The sequence below is a fragment of the Homo sapiens genome, chromosome 8 (genome assembly GCF_000001405.40).
Source record: "Homo sapiens chromosome 8, GRCh38.p14 Primary Assembly".
Lineage (NCBI taxonomy): Eukaryota > Metazoa > Chordata > Mammalia > Primates > Hominidae > Homo > Homo sapiens.
The window spans coordinates 124,280,117-124,302,406 of NC_000008.11; the positions used below are offsets into that span (position 1 = coordinate 124,280,117).

Consider the following 22,290-nt stretch of genomic DNA (forward strand, 5'->3'; position numbering starts at 1 on the left):
CTTGCTTCATACACTTTAGTTGAGTCCATTTTTATTTACTTTTCCAAATGAACCTTGTTTAAATGCACAGTGAAAAATACCTAATTATTAATAAAAATGTTTGTCTACATGACATTTCAAAGCATCCTGCTTATCACAGTGAAATGCACCCCACACTTTAAGCAACAGTCATCTCAAACTAGCACAACGGGTTAGCTCTTAAATAGTTGGAATGCAAGCAATAAGGGTGACATCTGTGAGGTGGACTCTTCTTTGAGGTTTTCAGTTATAAATATTCAGCAGTACAATTCCACCAAATGCTGGTTGCATTCCTGCTGTGAACACGACACTGCTTAACCACATAAGCTATGATGTTTTGTTGGAAAACCACAAACAGCCAGTAAAGATGGCTGATGGAGCGCCACTCAGAACAGCTTACCTATGATAAGTTCTTTCACAGACATTCATGTCCATTTCCCTCGTTCACCAACAGGAGAGGTAGTATTAGAAGAATTTAAAACAAAAAACCAGGCCCACACGGATTGAGAGCTTGACCCAAGATCTCACAAGTTCCAGGCAGAGCTGAGAGTCCTGGAATTCAGGTCCCTGCTGCTGACCTGGACATGCCTCTGCTACATAAAGCCACAGTCTTTCCTGCTCAGGGCACTGCTGACGCCACTTTCTGCCCTGGTTTATACGTTAATATTCACAAAAGCTGCTGGGAGCCTGGACTTTCATAAAACCAGCCTGCTCTCGGACTAAAATACCCCCCTGTGGCCTAGTTACGATCCTTTCCTGTTCTCCATTAAAAAGCTCCGCAGTGGCTGAAGGGGTCTCACAAGGCTTTTAGAGGTTTAGCAAATCTTCAAAATGGACCAAGAAGAATTGGTAACTGTCTTAGCATTTTCCACAAAGTTAGAGAAACAGCAGTTAGTGGAAACAGGGCAAGGCCCAGATAATCTGTTCCAAGGCCACATATGACATCATAATTTAGCCTTTTGGTAATCAAAAATTTCCCAATGATCCGAACAAGTAAAGGAAAATCCCAACCCACCTGTATTAGTCCATTCTCACAATGCAATAAAGAACTGCTCGAGACTGGGTAATTTATAAAGGAAAGATGTTTAATTGATTCACAGTTCCGCATGTCTGGGCAAGCCTCAGGAAACTTACAGTCATGGCAGAAGGGGAAGTAAATATGTCCTTCTTCACATGATGGCAGGAAAATAACGCAGAGCGAAGGTGGTGGGGCGGGGGCACTGGGCAGGGAATGCCCCTTATAAAAACCATCAGCTCTTGTGAGAACTCGCTCACTATCACGAGAACAGGACGGCAAAATGGGGGAAACTGCCCCATGATTCAGTTTTCTCCTCCTGGTCCCTCCCAGGACATGTGGGGATTATGGAAACTACAATTCAAGATGAGATTTGGGAGGGGACACAGCCAAACCATATCACCACCCTCTCTTTTTACCAGAATTAATTATTAATGTTTTCGGCTTTCCTTTTGCCCCATGTGTGAGGTCATAAAAAAAAATTATGCTGGGGGCCAGGAATCGTGGGTCTTAAGTTCTGCCCTGATACCACCTAGCCACGGGCCCAGGCAGGCTCTAAGGAGCTGGCCCACGGTGTAGTACGGAATTCCGGTGCTGAGGGAAACAGACATATCTTTTCATCCTACCTCATCTTGCCCTTTGGATGAGTTGTTTTAAATTTCTCTGAGCCCCACCTTTCTTACCTCTAAAACCTATCTCAAAGGTGTTGATACGGATTAAAGAACAAAATGATGTAAAACACTGATCCCAGCCACAGCACAAAGCAAGAGGTAAATAAATAGTAGCTGGTATTGCTACTGCCAATTCAGATAGTCTGGGCCTCGGACCAGGTTATATGAATATATGTAATGAACAGCTCTTGACTTCAGTGATTATGGATTTATCACCCAGAACAGAATGAGTGGGGAAACATCATGCAGCTGACAGACAAGCTCATCACAATTTAATTTCCAAATACATAAATTTTTCTGGCTTTGAAGGGTTATTCAAAGGGTGCCTTGAGAAAATGTCAACCAGCATAATTTTAAATATGGCCGGTTCTTGACTAGTGGTGGAAAAGGAAGTCAGGAAAAATGGAAATAAATACCATTGATGAATAATTATTATTTTAGCCTGCACCTTCAACTTCCAGGTCAGAACTTTAAAAGTGTGTTTACCTGATTTGAGTTTCACCCAGTTATCTTCCTTGGTTTTTCCTTTACTGTAGGGAAATAGCCCAGGTTAGGCAGCCAGAGAGAGGCAAGAGAAGACAGGAGGTCCTGAGGCCCATATTTTGTAAGATAGAGTTGCCTGACCAATTATTGTATCTAGGTGCCTGTTAAAAATGCAGATCTCCCAGCCCCAAATGAATGAGGCTATCTGGGGCTGGTTGTTGAAAATATGCTTTTTTTTTTTTTTTTTTTTTTTGAGACGGAGACTCACTCTGTCGCCCAGGCTGGACTGCAATGGCGCAATCTCAGCTCACTGCAACCTCCACCTCCCAGGTTCAAGCCATTCTCCTGCCTCAGTCTCCCAAGTAGCTGGGATTACAGGTGCCCACCACCACGCCTGGCTAATTTTTGTATTTTTGGTGGAGATAGGGTTTCACCTGGTTGGCCAGGATGATCTCGAACTCCTGACCTCAGGTGATCCGCCCCCCTTGGCCTCCCAAAGTGCTGGGATGACAGGCGTGAGTCCCCACACCCAGCTAAAAATACGCATTTTTAATAGGCACCCTTGATACAACCAAAACTTTGAAAACCACTGATGTTAGGCCACATTATAAGCATGTAATAAATGCCACGTATACTTATCTCAGTAGGATTTCTTCCTGTCTCTAGTAGAAATTTATGGTCAAGGAGGAGTAAAGGACAAGCAAACAAACCATCCTAATAATTGTACAGCCAAAGAATACAGGTGAAAACAAAGTACAGTGGTGTCCCAAGGCAGGGGTGATTAGCCTACTTGAGGGCACAGAGGGACAGTTGTCAGAAAGATTTTCCCCAAGTGGAAGCTTCACCTCATTTTCCAAGTGGGTGAAGTGGGTGAAGTTTAGCAGTTAATGGATGGATGGGGAAACAGAACACAAGCAGGAAGAATAACATGAACAAAGCAGAGAGGCTCATTTGAGGAGCTGCATTGGTTCTGTATGTGGCTGGAAGGCAGGGAGTGAGGTTTGGAGGGATAGCGGAAACATTTCTTCTCAGCTGTGCAAAATTACAAATCATACTTTTCTTCCTCAAAGAAGGAAAGCGATCTCAAGTTTCTGGCATGAGAAAGCATAAACAAATCTCTAGGCTCTACTCTGACTTGATGGTTTTTTCCTTTTCCTGATTTTAAAACTCACTTGCATCCCACACCAAACCCAAGTAGATGCTAAATATAGTCGGCTCTTTGAGCCTTTTCCATTTACTCTGCCGAGTCAGTCTTTTCAATTGTGATTTATGCTCAAATTGTGGTTGAGTTAATTTAGTCAATTAACTTCAGTGAAACCAAAGGTTTATTTTCCATAAAGAATTTTCTTCTTATGCTTTTGAGATATTGTTATAATGAGTTTTGTTATATGCTTATGGATCAACTATTTTAATTGGGTCTATTTCACTTATCTATTACTGTGTAACAAACCATCCCAACATTTAATGGCTTAAAACAACAACCTTTGTATTTGCTCACTCTCTGATATTCAGACTGGGCTTAGTTGGATAAGGTTTCTGCTGATCTTGATGATGATCACTAATTGGCTGAATTCAGTGTGAGTTGGATGGGGGCTGGGCTCCGCTGAGATGCTGAGATGGCAGGGTTTTTCTAAGGCCTTTTTATATAGCCCCTCTAGCAAGGTAATTAGACTTTTTATATGGCAGATCACAGCATCCGGAAGCACCAAAGCAGAAGCTGACAGTACTTCTTAAGGCTCAGAACTGGCACAGTGTCACTTCTGCTGCATTTGATGAGTTAAAGCAAGTCATAAACCCAGACCAGATTCATGGGAAGGGGATTACACAAGGTTATGAATACTAAGAGGCATAGCTTATTGGGGCCACCAATAAAACAAACTGCAACAGTTTGCTCTCTGGTTTCCAGTGGCTCACAGCCCTCCCACGTGCAAAATACTCTCAACTCTCTCCCAAGACCCCTAAGAGTCTTACCATATTACAGCAGCAGTCTGGCTCAAGGTTCAAGATCTTGTCATCTAAACCAAGTCCAGGTGTAGATAAGACTCCTTGGGTATATTTCTTCTAGATCTGAAGACAAATTGTTTCGCCCCATATACCAGTGAGACCAGCATACAATAATCACAGCAGACTCTCATCTAAATGAAGGAGAATGGAAGGAATGCAGGACTTGCCAGTCCACAGCAATTCTGAAGTCCAGACAGGCATATATCACCAATTACCCCTGCTCCAGGGACAGTTATGTTCCTAGGGAGTGGTTCTTCATGGTTCCTTACTCTGCTTTCTGACTATTTCTTCTTTTCCCATAAGGGATGGCCAGTGTCTGTAGGTGAATAGCTTTCTCATCCTGTTTCCTGCCTTTAGAAAGAGTCCAGAGGCCTCTTTTCAAGTTGAGCTGTTTCTTTTCTTTCCTTTTTTTTTTAATTTATTTTACTTTAAGTTCTGGGATACTTGTGCAGAACGTGCAGATTTTTTACACAGGTATACATGTGCCATGGTGGTTTGCTGCACCTATCAACCTGTCATCTAGGTTTTAAGCCATGCATGCATTAGCTATTTGTCCTAATGCTCTCCCTCCCCTTGCCCCCCACCCCCTGATAGGCCCCAGTATGTCATGTTCCCCTCCCTGTGTCCATGTGTTCTCATCGTTCAGCTCCCATTTATGAGTGAGAACATGCGGTGTTTGGTTTTCTGTTCCTGTGTTAGTTTGCTGAGAATGATGGCTTCCAGCTTCATCCATGTCCCTGCAAAGGACATGAACTCATTCTTTTTTATGGCCGCAGAGCTGTTTCTTTTAGTACAACTCTGTGTTTCTGCTAATATAGTTCTCTTCAAGACTATGTAGGATTCCTATAAGTCTTATTAGGTTTCATGCCATTAGATAAGAGCTATACTCACAAATCTCTTTGTGACAGACCTCTTTATACTTTGGGTCAGAGTACTATGAGAAGATGTCCTTTAGATTCTTGGAAACACTTTTATCTAGTGCTGAGGTTCTAGGAGGTTCTACTGCTAATCTTTCTGGGGTCTTAACAAAGGGTCTTATAGCCACACTTGTGACTTGATCTTTTATTTTTTTTATTTTTTTATTTTTTATTTTTTTTTGAGATGGAGTCTCACTCTGTCACCTAGGCTGGAGTGCAGTGGTGTGATATCGGCTCACTGCAACCTCTGCCTCCCAGGTTCAAGCAATTCTCTGCCTCAGCCTCCTGAGTAGCTGTGACTACAGGCACCCACCAGCACGCCCGGCTAATTTTTTGGTATTTTTAGTGGAGACGGGGTTTCACCATCTTGGTCAGGTTGGTCTTGAACTCCTGACCTCGTGATCCACCCACCTCGGCCTCCCAAAATGCTGGGATTACCAGCATTTTGGTGTGAGCCACCACGCCCGGCCTGTGACTTGATCTTGACTCACATGTTCCATTTTACTGGTAGCATCTTAGATTTGATCTTTCTTCCCCCAAGGCCATTTGGGAACCTTTTGCAGACTGGAAAAGCTGCAAGGGGAGAGAGTTTTATTTTCCAACTCAGTAAGTCCTGGGTTGGAAAGTTTTCCTGTGTTGACACTTTTATTTTTTATCCTTCTCTCTCTATTTGTGCCTTATCAGGCACAGCTAAAAGAAGACAGTTAGCACTTTCAACGTTCTGTCTGGAAATAGTCTCTTAGTCAGATCCCCAAGTTCTTTAGACACATTTGCTATCTTTTATAGTCAACATGTTGCCAAACTTTCAACCACTACATGACACAGATTGTTTTTTCTCCAGACTCTAATACCAACTGCTCACTGCCCTTCCAGCCTTCACTAAGTCTCCTGGAGCCTCCTCCAGCTTCTACTCACCACCCAGGCCAAAAGCCATGGCCACTAGCTTTGTGTTCTTGTTACAGAAGAAACCACATCTGAGAGCTAACTTCTATTTGGTTAGCTATTGCTGCATAACAAACCGCCCCCAAATTTAGTGGCTTAAAATGACAATCATTCCATTTTCTCACAGTTCTGGAATCTGGTTTGGGGCTCAACTGAGCAGTTCTTCTGCTGGTCTTTACAGTGGTCACTTTTGTGGCTGCATTTAGCTACAGGAAAGCTGGGCCTGGGGTCAGCTATTGTTTTCAGCCAATTTGATCTCTCCCTCCTCCCCTACCCTCCTCTCTCTCCTCTCTCCTCTCCTCTATCTCTCTCTCTCTCTCATTCCATGTAATCTCAGGGCTTCTCCTCATGTGGATTTGCCATGTGATCTCTTCAGTGGCAACCAAACTTCTTACATGGCAGCTTAAGATTCCCAAGAGTACAAAAGAAGAGGTCATTAGGACTTCTTAAGACTGAGGCCTGCAATGAGCATAGTACCACTTCTGCCACGATCTAAAGAAAATCATCCTCAGCACAGATTCAAAAAGAAGGAACTACACAAGGGAGCCCCCAAACTCAGAACTTGCCCTAGATGGTCCTGCGTGTGTGGTTATTAAACTACCAAAATGGGCCAGGTGCGGTGGCTCACGCCTGTAATCCCAGCACTTTGTGAGGCCGAGTCGGGCGGATCACCTGAGGTCAGGAGTTCGAGACCAACCTGGGCAACATGATGAAACCCAGTCTCTACTAAAAATACAAAAATTAGCCTGGCATGGTGGTGGGTGCCTGAAATCCCAGCTACTCTGGAGGCTGAGGCAGGAGAATTGCCTGAACCTGGGAGGCAGAGGCTGCAGTGAGCAGAGATCATGCCACTGCACTCCAGCCTGGGTGACCAAGCAAGACTCCATCTCAAAATAATAATAATAATAATAATAATAATAATAATAATAATAATAAAAAAACACAAAATCAAATAAAATACTATAATGTTTAAGGCTCCACATTTACATTTTGTATCCCGTACCTGTGTCTGCGTCCCAACAAAACTATTTTAAATCATTCATAAATTATTTTCGGAAGGGGTGAATATCTTTACTCCTGGACCTAGGTGTCACTGTTTTCTACCCTTATCTGTAGAAGGGGAGAGTTTCCACTCAGCTACTTCAGCGGGTGGGTTGTGAAACTAAAACGAGATCCTTTGCATGAAGATGCTTTGCGAACCAAGATACATGTTGAGCATCATCAAGATCTCAAGATCACAGTCCCTCCTGGTCTGCGGAGGTCCCAAGAGTACTGAAAGTGGCCTGACTGCTCTACACACTCAGAACTTCCCATGGGATTGAGCAATGGAAACTACCATTCAAATTTCATTGCCGGCTTGTAACAGAGTAATTTACCAATGGACAGACTCAAAATTTTATAAGTTTTCTCTCTCTCTCTCTCTCTCTCTCTCTGTGTGTGTGTGTGTGTGTGCACGCGCATATGTGTGTGGTGTATACTTTTCTTTCTTATAACATCTCCTTCTTTCTGGCTTTTCCATCTTTCCTTTTCTATTATCCAGTCTTTCCTTGGAGCTCCGACTACAAGAGTCCCGTTTTTCCAGATTCGTCTCAGCCTGGTATCTTTCACCTGCAGCACTACTTCTGCAGCATCTGGGTGCTATCAATTTTGATATATATTTTTTTTTCTTCAGCTTCAGTAAAATTTTGAAAAATCTACTAAAAAAAAAGAACTCTAGAGGGCAGAGAAAAATGAGCTATTCTTATTTACAGTGAAATCCATCACTGGAACTGCTGTCTGGGGTTAATAAAAAGACTTCTGGAAGACAAGGCATTTAACTATTCCCACAGCAACAAGGGAATCAGGCCTTTCTCTGTGACCCAATAGTTGTTTATGGAAGTACCAACTCCCAGGCAAATAACATAAAATTTAGAGACCAAAGACCTCGGTGTTAAAGAACCATCTCTGTCATTCATTGTGATCTTGAAGTTCTCAGAATTCAAGCTCCCTGCCTAGGAAACCTCTGGATGAATCATCAGAGACCTCTGGATGAATTATGATCACTGTTTCTGAACAGATGCTGAGGGTTACGGGTGACAGTACCAGAGGTGAAGGGTCAAGCAGGGCACACACACAGCAGGCCCTTCTGGAACATTGACAGGGAGGGGAGAAATTCAGAGAAAAGACCCATCGCAGGTATGTGAGCCCTGTTGCCCATTGCATTCAAACAGCACAGAAGAATCTAGCAGGGCCAAACGTCAAGCATTGGAAGAGAAACCTCAGTCTTTTGGCTGTAGGGCTTTAAAAAAAAAAATTTGCATGATTGAGAGAGTATAAGCTGCTCCCATGGTGTGATCAAGGGCTGGGGTCCAAACCCATGGTCCCAGCAATATGATGTGGCAGAACCTTGGCCTCCATTTTTGGGTCATCACCTCAGCACTTAGCAGTTGGCAAAATCAAAAGGCTGGGGTCAAGCTTTGGGGGCTGCAGCTGCATAACAACGTAGAACCTCCATATGCAGCCCAGGTCTATGGTCTACTAACTCAGTATTTTAGGTTGGGTGAGCATCAATCCAACCAAACCGCCACTTCAGAATTCTACCATAAGTTGGGTTGATTGTCTTAAACTCACAGCAGTAGCTGGTTTCTGTGGAGTGTTTCAGGGGCCAGCCTGTGAGGAACCAGACTTGGATAAATTAGCCCTTACTTTTCAGTGGGGTAATAAAGAATACTACTTTTTCCCATTTGAGTTCTGAACTTTTTGAGAAAATAAATAAGCCAGGTAGTTGAAGATAAAAATAACAGCCTTACAGCTGATAAAGGTAGGGGTGGAAATATGGCTGAGGTATGCCGCAACGATGGGCTTCCTAATTTTGCACCCCAGAACTAGGCCAAGCTACCAAATGTCAGGAATCTTTTGTAAAGCATGGGTCTCCCTCTGCAAGAATAAAATGTTTCCTAATACAATTATTAATGGCCAATTTCTCTGTAGGGAGGCTGATTGCAAAGGAGACCTAGCCAGTGCCAAGTTTCCCACCTCACCCCACAACACAACCATCATAAATAAAATGTGGTAGATATAGAGGTGGTAGATATAGACAACCCAGGGAAGGGGAGGAGTCAGGCCAGGGGCTGAGAAAGGCTAAGGCTACAGTCAACAGCCTATCAGAAAAAGGTGCCGGGATATCAAGTATCTCCTCTTAACCAATTCTGAGGAAGCCAGCGGATATTAGTCAGTCCTGTTTCACATGAGAAAAGAGCTGTGTCTGAAGTTTTCCATCAAATGAAAGCCCCCATTTTTTACCCTATGGATGTTTAGTGTTATTGTAATGTATGAATATATGTATGTATTTATTTATTTATTTTGAGGTAGAGTCTCACTCTGTCACCCGGGCTGGAGTGCAGTGGCGCGATCTCAGCTCACTGCAACCTCCACCTCCTGGGTTCAAACGATTCTCCTGATTCAGCCTCCCAAGTAGCAGGGACCACACGTGTGTGCCTGACTAGTTTTTTGTATTTTCAGTAGAGACCGGTTTTTGCCATGTTGGCCAGGCTGGTCTCGAACTCCTGGACTTAAGTGATTCTCCTGCCTCAACCTCTCAAAGTTCTGGAATTACAGGTGTGAGCCATGCGCCCGGCCTGTTCAGTGTTATTATAAGATAACAGCTGTTCCAATGACAAAGCCACTTCCCATGCAAAGTTTCATTCAATCTTAAAGCAAATCTGAGATCATAATAATGTGTAGTACTCATTTTTCATATGAGCTAAATGACTTGCCTAGGATCTCACAAGACCTAAGACTTAGATTTAAATATTATTTCAATAATCCCACAGGAGTTTCATAAGACTTTATCAGCTTCTCATAACACAAGAAAATATTGGGAGGATCCAAATCATTGCATTTCAGTATATTCATTTTAGGAGTAGCAGTGGCACAAATAACTTTAAAATTTGTTTTTTAGCTGGGCGTGGTGGCTTACACTTGTAATCCCAACACCTTGGGAGGTTGAGGTGGAAGGATTGCTTGAGGACAAGAGTTTGAGGCCAGCCTGGGCGACATAGTGAGACTTCATCACTACAAAAAAAAAAAAAAAAAAAAAGCTAGGCACAGTGGTACATCCCTATAGTCCCAACTACTGGAGAGGCTGAGGCAGGATGATAGCTTGAGCCCAGGAATTTGAGGTTGCAGTGAGCCCTGATCACACTTAACTTTCATCAGAAATGTGTCTGACAGACTGAAAATTCAATACTTAAAATAATTAAGTGACACAATAAATGCCGAAAGGGAAAGTGGAATGTTTTCACTTTCCCACTATTTTTCAGGTCAAAACATGTACAGGTTCCAATTTTTTTTTCGAATATTTTACAACCAAATTGAAGGGAGGAGAAAGACTGTTAAAAACTGGTGTCTTTTTTTTTTTTTTCTGAGATGGAGTCTCACTCAGTGACCCCAAGCTAGACTACAGTGGCGTGATTTCAGCTCACTGCAACTTCTGCATCCTGGGTTCAAGTGATTCTCCTGCCTCAGCCTCCAGAGTAGCTGGTATTACAGGCACGCACCACCACACCCAGCTAATTTTTGTATTTTTAGTAGTGACCATGTTTCACCATGTTGGCCAGGCTGGTCTTGAACTCCTGACCTCAAGTGATCCACCTGCCTCGGACTCCCAAAGTGCTGGGATTACAGGTGTGAGCCACCGTGCCTGGCCCAAAAAAAAAACTTGTATTTTTACTACAATAATTTACTGAGCACCTTCTACATGTCAAGGATTTTACCAGGCACTAAACACATAGAATTTCAATCCTTATAACCCTACAACAGAGGTCACCATTTTATAAATTTTATTGTCCCCATTTTATAAACAGGGGCACTTGAGCTCAGAGAAGTTAATTCTCTTGTGTAAGTTCCCACCCCCGGGAATTGAATAACCTGGACTTGTTTGATTCCAAATGACAAATACTATTAACATAGCTGTGGAAAAGCAAAAGCCTTCAGCTGTGAAATTGCTGTATATTAATATCTTCTTACGTGACTGGTGGCTAGGCTTATCAGCAGCAACCATTCCCCTCAGAGACTCAAGGCACAAAAAGAACCCTGAAGAATCGTGAATAGTTTAAATCTACTCATTTATCTTTAATGAGTTTACAACTCTCTCATCAAGACTTCAGAAGTTCAAAATTGATAATGATCCTAATTTTTAAAACCACATAGAAAGAGGAATAATCTATAGTATTGTATTATGACAAATACCAAAGACACAACAAATGAATTAGAAATAGCCTTTGCATTCTAGGAGCTCAATGTTGAGGCATGGCACAACTGAGGTAAAACAGAGTGTTCATGGTATCCACAGGGAGCCACGAAATCATGGAGAATTTAATTCACTAATTTAAACCGAACTGATGTCTTGCCCTCTAAGATTGCTACTTGCACTTTTCCTCAACTGGAATAATTCAACGTTTTTATTTTAAAAGGTTGCATTTACATTAAGTCTTACTGCAGAGTAAAGATTAACTAATATGAATACTAGCAAAGTGACTTATTGCCCAATACGTTGAATTATGTAAAAACAAAAAAGTATAACATAATGCTTTACTAGAACTTGGCAGCAACACTGTGAACTTTGTGGGTCACTCAGAATCCCAGAATCCTGGAGCTTGCAGAATACCCAAAAGACTGCAAATCTGGCCGGGCGGTGGCTCATGCCTGCAATCCCAGCACTTTGGGAGGCTGAGGCAGACGGACCACTTGAGGTGAGGAGTTCAAAACCAGCCTGGCCAACATGGTGAAACCCTGTTTCTACTAAAAATACAAAAAATTAGCAGGCGTGGTGGCAGTCGCCTGTAATCCCAGCTACCGGGGAGGCTGATTCAGGAGAATCGCTTGAACCCAGGAAGCGGAGGTGGCAGTGATCGTGTCACTACACTCCAGCCTTGGTGACAAGAGCGAGATCTTATTCCAAAAAATAAATAAATAAATAAAATAAAAAATAAATAGACTGCAAATCTCTCCGATACCATAAGAGTCTCAAGAGAAAGAATTGGATCTCATGATTCTGTTGACTCACCTTCCTCATAATTTGGTTCATTGTTGGACACCAAATACATCATGGGGAAAGTACATGAAGAAAATACTTATTTTGAATTGCATTTTGAATTTCTAAATTTTGCAGAGACAAAGAGAAAGGCTGAATCTCAGTCAGTTAAACTATTTATTAGCTGTCTGAGTGGGAAGAATATTGCAGGAAGATATAATTACAAAACCTGATATAGCCAGGATTCAGCTTAGAGCTTTCAGCCTGTTTATAAAATATGCCAAATATGAGATGGCAGGCAAAGGGTAATGTGTTAATAGCAGATAGGCAAAACACTGGCTGCAATTTCAGGAAAAGACTAAACAGAACAGCTCTACAACATACTTTGTCTCTTGGAATCTAACTGCTTAGAAAGGCCTAGAAATAAATAAGGAAAGTTTATTTTAGGCATCTTCAGCATTGTCCCTCTAAAATCTTTTATTTCATACACTGGGAAATATAAATACTAAAAGCATGGTACCAACCACCAGAATGTTTACTCTGTGAATTTAAAACCCCTAAATTATCCACCCCTCCCTTCAATTGCCTAACATAATACCACCCCAGAGTTGCAAAATTTGAAGAAGGGGAAAAAAAGCCTAAAATTTGGAATCAAAAGAGCTGTATTTAAATAAAGCTCTAGCTACTTAAGCAGCTACTCAACTCTTCTTATCTGTTGCCTTTACCTATTTGGCTATAAAAATGTTATTATTAAGATATTCTGGGCTGGGCGCAGTGGCTCACGCCTGTAATCCCAGCACTTTGGGAGGCAGAGGCGGGCAAATCACTTGAGGTCAGGAGTTTGAGACCAGCCTGGCCAACATGTTGAAACCCCATCTCTACTAAAAATACAAAATTAGCTGGGCACGGTGGTGTGTGCCTGTAGTCCCAGATACCTGGGAGGCTGAGGCAGGAGAATCGCTTGAACCCGGGAGGCGGAGGTTGCAGTGAGCCAAGAGCACGCCACTGCACTCCAGCCTGGGCAACAGAGTGAGACTACATCTCAAAAAAAAAAAAAAGATACTCTGATGGCTCATCAATATTTGCCCTTTGCTTTTGCCTGCTTTGGAGATCATGATTTTAAATTATTTGGAATATATCTTTTCTCCCCTACCTCTACAACGATGCGTCTTCGTCTTCAACCCTGTTTTGTTTTGTTTTTTTTTTTTTTTTTGCCCTTACCTTTTACTTGTCTTGTCATCCGGAAAAATTCAACACTTATTGCATAGCGTGCAACATCTGTGATCGTTGCAAAGGGAAATACAAAGGTAAATAAGATCTAATTTCTGCCTTCAAGGAACTTATGATTTAATAGAAGGGATACAGGTACCAAAAATGCCTATAAGGCATAACCTGGAAGGGCAAATCATTATATTAATGATCTCCGTGTCCATGTCCCTTTACAATATGGCATAGTCATTTCTCACATCAGAAAGGTGGCATCAATTTCTCCATCCCCTTGAATTTGGGCTGTTTTTTAAAACTTGTTTTGATAAAGGGTCAAAGGTGGCAGGAGTGACAGTGCAATATCTAGGACCCGGGCAACCCATGAGACCTCATGGCTTCTGCATTTATTCATTAGGTACCCGACTGCCACATGAAGATTCAGTTAAGTACACAATACAGTGTTGTTAACTATATGCACGATGTTGTACAGTAGATCTCTAGGATTTATTCACCTTGCATAAGTGAAACTATGTACCCTTGGATCAACATCTCTCTGATTCACCCTCCCCCAAACCTTGGTAATCACCATTCAAGTCTCTGCTTCTGCTTCTACGAGTTTGATTATTTTAGATTCCTAAATGGAATAATTGAGTAGTTCTTCCGTGTTTGACTTTTATTTCCCCCACTTTGGAGACAGAGTCTCACTCTGTTGCCCAGGCTGGAGTGCAGTGGTGCAATCTCGGCTCACTGCAACCTCTGCCTCCCGGGTTCAAGCAATTCTCCTGCCTCAGCCTCCCAAGTAACTGGGATTTCAGGCACCCGCCACCATGCCCAGCTACTTTTTTGTATTTTTAGTAAAGGCGGGGCTTCACCATGTTGGCCAGGCTGGTCTCGAACTCCTGACCTCAAGTGATCCTGCCTCGGCCTCCCGAAGTGCTGGGATTACAGGCATGAGCCACCGCACTTGGCCTGGCTTATTTCATTTAGCATGTCTTCCACATTCATCCATGACGTAGCAAATGGCAGGATTCTCATCTCGTTTAAAGCTAAATAGTATTTCATTGTATGTACATTTTCTTTATCCATTCATCTGGACATTTAGGTTCTTTCTATGTCTTTGCTATTGTGAATAATGGGACAATGAACACGAGAATGCAGACATCTCTTTGAAATCCTGATTTCAATTTTTTTTGGGTATATACCCAGTAGCAGGTTTGTTGGATGATTTGGTAGTTCTATTTTTAATCTTTTGAGGAACTACCATACTGTTTTCCATAGTGACTGTACCAATTTACATTCCCACCAATAGTGTACAAGGTGTGATGGTTAACATTGTCATCTTGATTGGGTTGAAGGATGCAAAGTATTGTTTCTGGGTGTATCTGGTTGTTGCTGGGTGTTGCCAGAACAGACTAACATTTGAGTTAGTGGACTGGGAGGGGAAGACCCACCCTCAGGAAGACCCACCCACAATGTGAGTGGGCACCATCCAATTGGCTGCCAGTGCAGCTAGAAAAAGCAGGCAGAAGAAGGTGGAGCAAGCTGACTTGCTGAGTCTTCCAGTCTTCATCTCTCTCCCATGCTGGATGCTTCCTGCCCCTGAACATCAGACTCCAAGTTCCTCAGCCTTTGGATTCTTGGACTTACAACAGTGGTTTGCCAGGGCCTCTCGGGCCTTCAGCCACAGACTGGAGGCTGCACTGTCAGCTTCCCTACTTTTGAGGTTTTGGGACTCAGACTGCCACTGCTGGCTTCCTTCGTCCTCAATTTGCAAAATGGCCTATCGTGGGACTTCACCTTGTGATCATGTGAGTCAATTCTCCTTAATAAACTTCCTTTCATATATACATATATCCTGTAAGTTTTGCCCCTACAGAGGACCCTAATACAGGAGTCCCCTAAGAGGTGATGGTTAAGTTTAGGGCACTGAATATGGTGATGGTTTCACAGGTGTATACTTATCCTCCAATGCATCAAGATGTATACGTTGAATATATATAGCTTTATTTGTCTGACAATCATATCTCACTAAAAAAGTAAATAAATGGATGTGGCTGTATTCCAATAAAACTTGATTTATGGACACTGAAAAAAAATATTCAGTTAGACTACAAAATGATGAAAGACCATGTAGTGAGAGTCGCCGCCTTCAAGCCATCTATGCCAAAGCCATGTTAAACCCTCCAGCTTCTGCGAACTCACCAGCTGGCTGCAGCCCCCTGAGTGAGCTCAGGCTAGACCAGCAGAGAAATTGCCCAGCTGACCCCAAAAATGTGAGAAATAGCAAATTACTGTTTTCAGCCACTAAGTTTTGGGATAATGGATAACTGAGACATCTGATAAGTACTATAATGAAAGTAAAAAGTGATTTGGGGATAAAGAAGAGTTAGAAATTATTTCCTACCCAGAGGATGCGTGGTGATCTTATAGCAGTAACGATTTTTAATGTTTTCCCATTTTTTTCTTTTTTAGGGGTATTTTTTATATGGTTTAATTGCAAAAATTTAAACTGCTAAAATTTGGCAAGTTCTGGCATAGGTAAACACCTGTGAACCTGTTATCACAATCAAGATAATAAATGCGGGGAGGCCAGACACAGTGGCTCATGCCTGTAATCCTAGCAGTTTGGGAGGCCAAGGCAGGTGGATTGGCTGAGCTCAGGAGTTCGAGATCAGCCTGGGCAACACAGTGAAACCCTGTCTCTACTAAAATACAAAAAATTAGCCAGGCATGGTGGTGCACGCCTGTAGTCCCAGCTACTCAGGAGGCTGAGGCAGGAGAATTGCTAGAACCCAGGAGGTGGAGGTTGCAGTGAGCCGAGATCAGACCACTGTACTCCAGCCTGGGCAACAGAGCAAGACTCCATCTCAAAAAAAAAAAAAAAAAAAGATAATAAATGCATTCCTCACCCCCAAGACTTTCCTTATGGCCCCTTTATAATCCCTGCCTTTATGCCCTCCTTGCCCTTTCACCATCCTGAGACAACCAGATATGTTTTCTATCACTATAGACTAGTTTGCATTTTCTAGAATTTTATATACATGGAACCATACAATGTGTACTCTTTTTGTCTGGTTTCTGTCAGCAGAATTAGTTTTAGATCCATCCAAGTTGTGTGTGTATCAACAGTTTATTTCTACTGCTAACTTGTATTATGTTGTATAGATAGACCATGATTTGTTTATCCATATTCCTGTTGATGGACATTTAGGTTTTGTAGTCTATTAGGGGGCAATAAAGTTGCTATGAACTTTAGTGCACAAGTCTTCGTGTGGACATATACATTCTTTTCATTTCAAGGTATTATGAAATATACCTTGCATAAATACCTTGAAGTGGAATGGCTCAGTCATAAGTGTATGTTTAACTTTTTATGAAACTGGTAACCTGTTTTCCAAAGTGGTTGTACCATTTTACATCCCCTACCATCAGTATACGTTCCAGTTGTCCCAAATCTTTGTCAATTCTTGGTATCGGTTTTTTCAATTTTAGCTATTCAGTTTTAGCCATTCTAGTGGGTATGGTTTTAATTCATATTTTCATTACTATTTATGTTGAGCATATTTTCATATACTAATTTGCCATTCATATATCTTATTTAAGTGACTTTTCAAATCATCTGTATACTTTTTATATTATTACATTTATTATTATAATTATTTGTTGTTATTATTGGAGTTTTATGTATTCTAGGTAGAAGTCCCTTCTTGGATATATGTTTTCCAACTATTTTTCCCATTTTGTAGTTTATATTTTCATTTTCATAACGGTATCTTTGGAAAGGCAAACATTTTTTATTTTGATGATATCCATTTTATTTTTCTTTAATAATTCTTGCTTTTTGTGTCCAGTTTAAGAAACACGTGCCAAGCCAAGGTCACTGAGATTTTCTCCTACGTTTTCTTCAAGAAGTTTTATACGTTACCTCTTATATTTAGGACTATGATTTATCTTGAAGTACTTTTTGAATGCTGGTGTGAAATAAGGATTGAAGTTCATTTGTTTTTTGTTATTGTTCTTTGTTTTCACTATTTGTTTATATGGATATCCATTTGCTCCATCACCATTTATTGTTAATATTATCATTTTCCCATTGAATTGCCCTGGCACCTTTGTTGAAAATCAATTCTGTAGGTCTATTTCTGGACAAATTTTGTTCCATTTGTCTCTGTTTACCTTTCTTTATACTGTGATTACTGTAGCTTTTTAATAGATCTTGAAATCAGATAGTGTAAATCCTCCATTTAGCTCTTTTTTCAGTATTGTTTTGGCTATTCTAGGTTCTTTACATTTTCATATAAATTTGGTAATTTCTTTTAAAAGCCTGCTAGGATTTCTATTGAAATCGTATTGAATATATATAGTTGAATTTGAGAATAAATTATATCTTAACAATGTTGAATCTTCTAATATATAAATACAATATGTCTATTTATTTAGATTTTATTTATCCCAGCAGTGTTTACTAGTTTTCAGCGAACAGGTCTCACATGTCTTTTGGCAGGTTATCCTTAAATATTTATTATTTTTTACATTATTTTTAAATTGCAATTTCTGATTGCTCACTGCTTCTATATAAAAATACAACTGATTTTGGCAAATTGATCTTATATTCTGCCACCTTGAGAAACATGTATTGGTACTGGTAGCTTTTTGGTAGATTAATTAGGATTTTCTACATAGATAATTGTGTCATCTGCAAATTAAGACATCTCTTCCTTTCTAATCTGGATATTACTCATTTATTTATTTAGCCTTATTACACTGGCTAGAAGTGGTAAGAGCATACACCCTCACCTTGTTTCTGATCTTAGAGAGAAAGCATTTCAGTCTTTCACTTTAAGTATGATGCTTGCTGTAAGTTTTCACAGATGCACTTTATTAGGATGTGAACGTTCGTTTCTAGTTCTAGTTTGCTGGAAGTTTCTATCATGTATGGATGTTTGATTATTGTGTTACATTTTGTCAATTTATTTTTTGCATCTATTGAGTTGATCATATGGAGGAATGGAGTCCTTAAACACCAATGGTCTTCCCTCCTTCCCCTGCCCTTAAGAGTTCTGTCCTTGGCCCTGCTCTCTTGTGCTTTACAAATGAGAAGACTTATACATTACAATAGCTTCAACTAACAGCTGTGTATAAATGACTTCCAAGCATACATGTTTCATCTCAAATTCTCAGCTGAAATTGAGACCAATATTCTCAGCTTCTAACTGTATTTTGTCCACCAAGTTATCCTCCATATATCTCTAGAGAGATAAATAGGGGTGACATAAGAATCCAATGGCTATTCTCTTCAGTTAACTCACATTGAACTCAATGTTCATCAACTTGAATTTATACCGTTTGTGTGCCATTTAAGGTCTTTTAAATGTAAAATCAGAAAAATATCTGAAATCAGAGAGCTTTTTAAAAAAATACTAAAATCAAAACTTTATAATGCAGGATGTCTCAATCTTGATACTAATGACATTTGGGGAAAGATAATTCTTTGTTACAGAGGGCTATCCTGTTACAGATGTTAACCAGCATCCCTAGTCTTGACTCACTAGATGCCAGTAGTATCCTCACTGACCCCAATCTATGACAGTCAAAAATGTCTCCAGATATTGCCAAAGGTCCCCTGGGGAGGGGACACAATCATCTCGAGGTTGGAAACTACTGATGTACTAACTTGCTCTAGATCAATGCTCCCATGAAAATCAACTAAAAGAGCCAAATTAAAAAACAAACAAACCAAAAACAAAATGGGCACAGTGGCTCACAGCTGTCATCTCAGCAATTTGGGACGCTGAGGCAGGAGAATCTTTTTTGCTCAGGAATTCAAGACCAACCTGGGCAACACAGTGAGACCTCATTTCTACTAAAAATCAAAAGAATTAGCCGGGCATGGTGCTGGGATTACAGGCGTGAGCCACTGCACCCAGCCCCATTTCACCTTCATTTTTGAAGGATATTTTTTGCAGGGTATGAATTTCTAGATCAGCAGCTACTTTCTGTAAGCACTTTAAAAGTATTATTCTAGTCTTTTTGGTTTCCATTGTTTCTGTGGGAGATGGCTGTCTTTAAGATGTTTTCTGTCTTTACTTTTTAGTTGGTTTACTTTGATGTGCCTAAGTGTGATTCTATTTTTCTTTGTCCTGCTTTAGTTTTCTGAGCTTGGTCAAATGTTACTTTGGCCCCATTCTATTCCAAGACTCCAATTATCTTTCTAAAGGCTTTTCATTGTGTTTACATGCCTCCAATACATGCTTCAGTATGTATTTTTTTCTACTGACCTGTCTTGTAGTTCACTAATCTTGTCTTTTGTTACACAAATCCACTATTACATCCACCTACTGTGTTCTCAACTCCAGACACTGTATTCAGTTCTAGAATATCCATTTGATTTTTATAGATTACTTTTCTGATCAAAGTCTTTGCCTATTATCTTATCCATAATTGTCTCAAACACATTAGTCATAGTTATCTTAGAGTTCTTGCCAGTGAACTCCAATATGTGAATTGTCTGTGGCTTGGTTTCTCATGTCACTTTTTTTTCTCTTAGTTTTTGGTCACGTGGTCCATGTGGTTTTGGCATTTCTTGTAATTTTCCATTGGTTTCCAGATGTTTTAATGTTACTGGCTTTGGGTGATGTCTTTCTTCAGTGAGGCAACCTGTCTTCTGCTAGAACTTAATCCAACCAAGAATCATGATAAATCAAGGCAGAGTTACAAATCTTGGCATAAGGCTCATTCTACATTTGACGTGCCCCTAGCCTCAGAGTTTTCTAATGGTCACCTAGGATATTCTCCAGATCCCCTCCTTCTGGCAAGTCCTGATTTTTAATCTTTGTTTTATGAAGCTTTCTGCCTACTTTTGTTTTCTCTCCTAAACAGCACCACAACTTTGCAAATTTTCTGAGTGGAAATTGCCCATGTTTAAGGCTGTTCCATATCTCTACCAAAAGCTTTCTTGGTTGCTGTCCTCTGGAGGCAAGCTTTAAAAAAATACAAAATCAAAATTACCAGCCTCCGGTCTGCAACCAGAATGGACAAGTGCCCCCAAACTAAAAGCAGCCACAGGTCAGCTCACCTCAGAAATGTTCACTCCTTTTTAGAGTCCTGCTTGGACAGATTTCTACTGCCTTCAAATAGATGAGTCCCGTATTTTATCCCGCTTTTCTGCTGGGGGATAGTGGCGGTGGATTTGATAACTGGTAGGAACTAGTGAGAGTTGTGTTGCCCATTCTTTCCCTTTCTTTTTTTTTTTTTTTTGTTGAGACGGAGTCTCGCTGTCGCCCAGGCTGGAGTGCAGTGGCGCAATCCCGGCTCACTGCAGGCTCCGCCCCCTGGGGTTCACGCCATTCTCCTGCCTCAGCCTCCCGAGTAGCTGGGACTACAGGCGCCCGCCACCTCGCCCGGCTAATTTTTTGTATTTTTAGTAGAGACGGGGTTTCACCGTGTTAGCCAGGATGGTCTCGATCTCCTGACCTCGTGATCCGCCCGCCTCGGCCTCCCAAAGTGCTGGGATTACAGGCGTGAGCCACCACGCCCGGCCTCTTTCCCTTTCTGAATTGAAATTGTTACTACACTCTGGGTACGTAGGGGAAGATACTCTTTTCATTTATGAAGTATAACAAGGAGCTAATTTAAGACCTTATAGAGAGTATGGCACATTTAGAAGTAAATGCAGTCACTTTGAGCCCACTCTCTTGTGGATGGGTATCTTCCACACTGGGGAAAAAAAAATGAGGCATGAAAACTTGGTATTCAAAGCGGTGGATTGTCATAAGAGAGCCAGTTGTCCCCCAAGATGTCCTTCCCTTCTTCCAGTTTTTGGTATACAACTGGACATACAGAATGAAGACATTTAAAGTTTCTCTTTCAGCTCAGTGTGATCATGTGATATAGGTCTGATGGACAAGATGTGTCATGTGGCAACTTAAAAGTTGGCTCAACAGGGTCGGGGTGGGCGCCGGTCTGGGCGTGGGCGTGAACCAGCGCATGGACAGTTACAAGCACCTGAACGGCTGGAGCAATGGCAGCTACAGCATGATGCAGGACCAGCTGGGCTACGCACAGCACCCGGGCCTCCACGCCAACGGTGCCGCGCAGATGCAGCCCATACACCGCTATGACGTGGGCGCCCTGCAGTACAACTCCATGACCAGTTCGCAGACCTGCGAGAACTGCTCGCCCACCTACAGCACGTCCTACTCGCAGTAGGGCACCCTACTCCAGCCCCGCTGTGGTTACCTCTTCCTCCCACTCCAGGGCGCCCTGCCAGGCCGGGGACCTCCGGGACCTGATCAGCACGTACCTTACCCGCGCCGAGGTGCCGGAACACGCCGCCCCAGCCAACTTCACATGTCCCAGCACTACAGGAGCAGCCCGGTGCCCGCCACGGCCATTAACGACACACTGCCCCTCTCGCACATGTGAGGGCCGGACAGCGAACTGGAGGGGGAAGAAATTTTCGAAGAAAAACGAAGGAAATGGGAGGGGTGCAAAAGAGGAGAGTAGGAAACAGCATGGAAAAAACCCAATACGTTCAAAATGGAAAAATATATATATATTTTATCTTATATATATATTTATATATATAAATATATATTCTTTTACATATATTTATATATATTCTTTTATATATATTTATATATAAATATATATTCTTTTATATATATTTATATATAAATATATATTCTTTTATATATATTTATATATATATTCTTTTATATATATATTCTTTTATATATATTTATATATATATTCTTTTATATATATAAATATATATTCTTTTATATATATTTATATATATAACTATATATTCTTTTATATATATTTATAAATATATATTCTTTTATATATATTTATAAATAATCTTTTATATATATTTATAAATATATATTCTTTTATATATATTTATAAATATAAATATATATTCTTTTATATATTTATATATATTTTATATATTTATATATATATTCTTTTATATATATATATATATTCTTTTATATATATTTATATATAAATATATAT

The 22,290-nt window shown here is 40.9% G+C and overlaps 1 pseudogene; it reads left to right on the forward strand.

The window, feature by feature from the left end:
- The first annotated feature begins 13,255 nt into the window (after positions 1 to 13,255).
- Positions 13,256 to 21,693, forward strand: LOC112268031 (transcription factor SOX-2-like; annotated as a pseudogene).
- Positions 21,694 to 22,290: the final 597 nt, after the last annotated feature.